The sequence below is a fragment of the Homo sapiens genome, chromosome X, assembly GCF_000001405.40.
Source record: "Homo sapiens chromosome X, GRCh38.p14 Primary Assembly".
Taxonomy (NCBI): Eukaryota; Metazoa; Chordata; class Mammalia; order Primates; family Hominidae; genus Homo; species Homo sapiens.
In genome coordinates, this window is record NC_000023.11 from 7,713,406 (window position 1) to 7,719,120 (window position 5,715).

Sequence of the window (5,715 nt, forward strand, 5' to 3'; positions counted from 1 at the left end):
ATAGGAGTGAAGTCAACAGGGAACCAAAATACCATCTAGCTGAACACAACCTAAATATGCAACCCATAATCCATCTCACGAGTTAGACAACTGCATTTTATTTCAAGCCATCAAGGTAAGGTAAAGAGTGTTTGTTATGCTGCATTATTGTAGCTCTAGATAACCAATCTTTTCTTAAGCATACCCTTGTTTGATTGAGAATAGTTGTCCCTCAGTATCTAGAGGGGATTGGTTTCAGGACCCCCATGGATTCCAAAACTTGAGAATACTCAAGGCCTTTATATAAAACATCATAGTATTTGCATTTAACCTAAATACATCCTCATATATGCAGTCAGCCACACGTTCTACATCTGTGGATTCAACCAATATTGGATCCAAATATTTGGAAAAATCAAGTACATCTGTAGTGAACGATAAACACCTATTTTTCTTGTAAATAGTAACAACTATTTATGTAGCATTTACATTAGATTAGGTATTATGTGTATAATTATGTACCACCTAACAATGTTTTGGTCAACAACAGATCACATATATGCTGCTGGTCTCATAAGATTATAATGCCATATTTTTACTGTACCTTTTCTATGTTTAGCTATGTTCAGAGACACAAACACTTACCATTGTGTTATAATACCCTACAGTAGTGAGTGCAGTAACATGCTGTCCAGGTTTGAAGCCCAGGAGCAAGAGGCTATGATGTATAGCCTAGGTGTGTAGCAGGCTATACCATCTAGGTTTGTGTAAGTACACTTACTGATATTCACACAGTAACAAAATCATTTAATGACACATTTCTCATGAGGATTAAGCTCTGATATTTTATCTTGCCCAAATTCCCATCTAAGGAGTCTGGGTAGTCATGCTTTACAAAATATAAATTCTCATCAGATGGGTTTTATTTTACCCTATATATTGTGACCTACGTTCCAATAAGACTCTGTCATAACATTATGTGACAAAGAAGAAAGTTAAAATATTTTACCCCCAAGCATGTTTCTTTGCTATATCTTGAAATGGCCCTGCAAATTTGTCCTTTGTGGGGGAAAATTTGCATCTGTAAAGAATGTCTATTAACATAGCTAGATCTTTTCTTCCAGGCACTCCCAATTCTGAAGAGATTTACTAAGAGTCTGGCACCTTTTAAAGGTCTGAATAGGAAACATTTGTCGTCTATTGTCTCTAAAGGCTGCCACTATAAGACTTCAAAAGAACCTTGGTCTCCACGATCTTTTATCTTAACCTGAACATTTCCTTTCTATCAATCCCAGGTCTTTAGACAAACTCAACCAATTGTCAACCAGAAAATGTTTAAATTTACTTACAGCCTGGAAGCTCCCTGCTTTTCTGGTTGACAATTACAATAACACATTGATTAACAACAGGGCTATGTTCTGAGTGTCGACAAAAAGAGTCAAACTCTGTAAAATATTTGAAGAGATTTATTCTGAGCCAAATATGAGTGACCATGGCCCATGACACAGCCCTCGGAAGGTCCTGAGGACATGTGCCCAAGGCGATGGGGGCGCAACTTGGTTTTATACATTTTAGGGAGGCATGAGACATCAATCAAGTACGTTTAAGAAATACATAAAGGCGAGACAACTCAAAGTGGGTGGGGACATTGCCTGTAAAATTAAATGGCAACATGGCATGCCTAACTTGGGAGCCAAGGAGCCCCCCAGTGAAATCCTAGCACAATTACTTATCAGTTTTAGATGGTTGTAGAAGATCCTTAAATTCTATAAGCATCAGCTTTCTCATAAAAAATGGAGCTATTAATATTACTTCCATGAGAGTGTTGCTCGGAGAATTATTAAATTCAATGGTATATTCAGAATGCTTAGCAGAGCACCTGGCAGATATTTAACTGTTCAATAAATTATAGTTATTATTATTAAGACTGCTTACTCCTCATAGAAACCTGAAAATTTGGGAGAAGCAGTTTATTGAGAAGAAAATTAACTTAGAATTTTGATGAGCGATGCAGAAAAGTAATGAATTGCCATATTTGTGACACAGAGAGTTACCTCTTTTTGAAAATGGGGCAGATTATTTTTATTATTTCATCCTGAGGGACCCATGCCCAGGGAATCAGACGAAGCACAGCAAGGATTGAGGTCTCTCATTTGAAACAGGATGTAAACACATCTGTGGAACAAAGATCACCCAGGGCAGTTTTTAACTATGTTGATTAATCATACAAATTATAATGGATGGTACAAACAAAAATTGCTGATGCTTCCAAAATCATTAATGATTTCTGTAGTCACGTAAAGACTTTGGGAACTATTAAACCACCAACTTTTGTATCCTTTTCATTCCAATTCCAATGATAAAAATAATTGCACATTAGGGAAAATTCGGACAATATAGAAAAGTAAAAACAAGAAAAAAAATGGAAATCTCTCTTTTCAGAGCATAAATGTTTCAGTGTATTTTCTCCCAATCTTTCTTCTTCTTGACATTTAAAGGAGAACCATAAACTACGTTGAAAATTATTTTATAGAAACTCAAGATTTTTACTTTTCTTTCTGCAAAGAAAACGTGTTATTTCATTGTCTGTGTCAGAGGATCTTGAACAATGAACTCTCAGATTCCAAACAAAACATTTCAATAAAATACCAAACTTACTGTTTGCACCCTTAGAATTGCTATAATAGACCTCGACATTTTTGAATCCTTGTTCTACTGAAAGGTGAGAGGAAAATGCGCACAGTTGTCTGACATAAACAAGATTGTATTAAACAGCCCTGTATTAGTAGGTTGAAAGTATGCTGATGAAATGAAACTAACACAATGTGTTGAAATAAGAAAGAAAAGTACACTTTCTAAAGCACAACTCTAAAATTTGCTTTGGTTTTTAGTTTATGGACACTCCGACATCTTTTCTTTTTTAGGGTGTTCAAAAATGACCTCAGAATGCTTCATGTGAGCTCAATCATGAATAATTGTGGTAGGAGTTTATTGGATGGTCTGATACCCATTCTAATTAAGCACGTAAAAGTACACTGGGTTCCTCAAAATTATATCCAGAGCCATCACAGGTTATGGATCCAACAGGAGGTTTGATGAAATACACACTGCTCCTAGCTGAGAAGGCTGTTGAAAACCCACATGAACAATTGCACTTATAGGATTTAAGATTGACTCAGGGCACCCTGGTTTGAAGAGGATGACCTGAGTTGAAGTGAATTCTTAAGACCCCATAAATACAATGTTTTGTCGGGGGCTGATATAACCCAATTCATGCCTGATGCTCCTGGATCTCTAGTCTGATTTCCACCCTGCCAACCCTTCCAGTAGCCAGCTCTCAGTGTGCACATGTGCTTAAGTGGTTCTTAGCCTCTCAATAAACAGCCCAGGACAGTAAGGGCCAAACAAACCTTCAAGTATGTAAAGGAAATTGCAAGTGAACCATTCCTGCAGCCCAAGATCTAAGCCCTATTAAGAAAATAGATGCCTATTTATCATCTTCATTCATGTGCCTTGCAGGGGCAAAGAAATGACTAAAGACAATCTTGCAATGTATGTGCCAAAGACATGCATTTCCCTTTGGATTATCTGTGGAGTTAATTTCCAAAGATGCAACAGAACATAACAGAGCAATGGATCAGTGCCTGGCAGATCCATAAGTCTTACACTAAATGCATGACTGGTAGTCTGCCAGATGACAGAGGAATTCTTCTTCATACCATTGCCCTAGCTCTGATTTTCAAACAGATATTAAAAATACAGAGGGGAGATTCTCAAATCACAAGCTTTCAAAGTTAACATCGAAAGAAGCCATAATCATCACATTTGTTACTAGACGATACCTCATTTTCACCATGTATTAGTTAAGCACTTAATTGGCTCCCCAATGCTTTGCTAGCAACATATCACAATTGTGAAACTTCATAACGAGTGTCCACTCAATATATTTAAATTTCGTTTTTTATGACTTCAGCTAGGTGGATGACTGACTTGCTAGACAAATATATAAAAGCATATTAAAATTATGCATAGGTAGCAGTGGCTTAATAGGATTTCTCCTACATTTCAGTATTTCACTGAAACATGCTTTATTTTCACAGTATGCTGGCTGTTAAGTGCAGGCACATGAATGAAAAAGGAATTTGACCATCTCCCTATCTACAAATGTTATTGTTTCTACAGCTGTCTCCTCCATTTCTGTGTCAGGCTCAACCTAAAAGAAAAATTTTAATGTGAATGAAAGTCTGCACCCGGGCTCTGAGAAAGTGTGTGGAAGAAGATGGTAGGTGTGCTCATGGTAGCATGTACGTCGTAGGTCATAAACAATGAAGCACCTGTCCTTTACAAATATGAAAGCTCACAGTTATTCATGTTACTCAGACTCTTTGTCCAGGTTTCAGTTCTTTTCTTTGCCCTGCAATGTAAAAGTAATCACAACTAAATAGGAAATATGGATCTCCAATCCACAAGATGAGGTGATTAGGAACTGTTGTTTGGGAAGCATTGGAACAGGTGGAGATGATTAGTCTAGAAAAGACACATCTTGCTGTTGAAATATTTGAAATTCACGTAAGACAGTAAAAGAACTCCTGTTGCATTCCAGGGGACAGAGCTAGATCTCATAGATAAAAGCCACAAGGAGACAGAGGTAAGAAAAACATAAATATATGCTAAATAGGAGAATTCTACATATGGCACTATTTTCAGAAAGAGCATTAATACAATCTCTATTTATATTCAGACAATTATCCTAGAATATTATAGTTTTTTTCATAATTGTGTGTCTACTGTATACCACCTAGGAAATATTAAATACTATGATCAGTATTTTTGTTATTGCTACTTTTATTTTTATTATTAATTGGGAGCTTTTCCAGACATTAATAAACCCTTAGCAGACATAGGTCATACATCAGTTGCTCAATTCATTGTCACCTCTATGAGCATATTTCTGATAGTGAAGCTCAGTATGTGTTGTGTAATAAATAAAAAGGAAACAATGAAAGCAAATTACTCATTATTGCCTTATGGTTAAATAAAGATTAAAAAACATTGGAAACCATGTAGAGAAAGCAGGGTATAATTATATTAGAAACCACTGTGTAACCATCACTAATATTAAGGAATACATCTAGTCCTGACAGCTCCTTGTAAATGGAAGGAGACATGTTGCCAACTTATACTATCTACTGGAAAAGGTAGACATTGGCAAAGCTGTCAACTGTCTCACAAGAGAAGCCAAGGGGCTTCTACAGGTATCCTCCAGAGATATTGTGGGTTCCGTTCCAGACCACCACAATAAAGAAAATATCACAATAAAAGCAAGTCACACAATTTTTTTTTATTTCCCAGTGAGTATAACAGTTATGTTCACATTGTACTGTAGTCCGTTAAGTACGTAATACCATTGTGTCTAAAAAAATATACACATACCTAAATTGAAATACTTTATTACTAAAAAATGTTAACAATCATCTGAGCCATCAATGATTTGTAATCTTTTTGCTGGTGAAGGGTCTTGCCTTAGTGTTGATGGTTGCAGATTGACTAGGATGGTGGTTGCTGGAGGTGGGGATAGCTGTGGCAATTTCCTAAAATAAGACAACAATGAAATTTGCTGCATTGGTTGACACTTCCTTTCATAAAAGATTTCTCTGTAGCATGAGAGGCTGTTTGTAGCATTTTACCCACAAGTAGAACTTCTTTTAAAATTGGAGTCAATCCTCTAAAACCCTG

General features: G+C 36.3%; 2 annotated features.

Moving 5' to 3' along the window:
- Positions 622-1,348: an enhancer, noted in NCBI's record as "OCT4-NANOG-H3K27ac hESC enhancer chrX:7682068-7682794 (GRCh37/hg19 assembly coordinates)". NCBI's record gives its function as "activates a minimal SCP1, AML or CMV promoter by ChIP-STARR-seq in naive and primed H9 embryonic stem cells {active_cell/tissue: H9 hESC(naive and primed)}" and the evidence as "EXISTENCE:reporter gene assay evidence [ECO:0000049][PMID:30033119]".
- Positions 1,349-2,075: an enhancer, noted in NCBI's record as "OCT4-NANOG-H3K27ac hESC enhancer chrX:7682795-7683521 (GRCh37/hg19 assembly coordinates)". NCBI's record gives its function as "activates a minimal SCP1, AML or CMV promoter by ChIP-STARR-seq in naive H9 embryonic stem cells {active_cell/tissue: H9 hESC(naive)}" and the evidence as "EXISTENCE:reporter gene assay evidence [ECO:0000049][PMID:30033119]".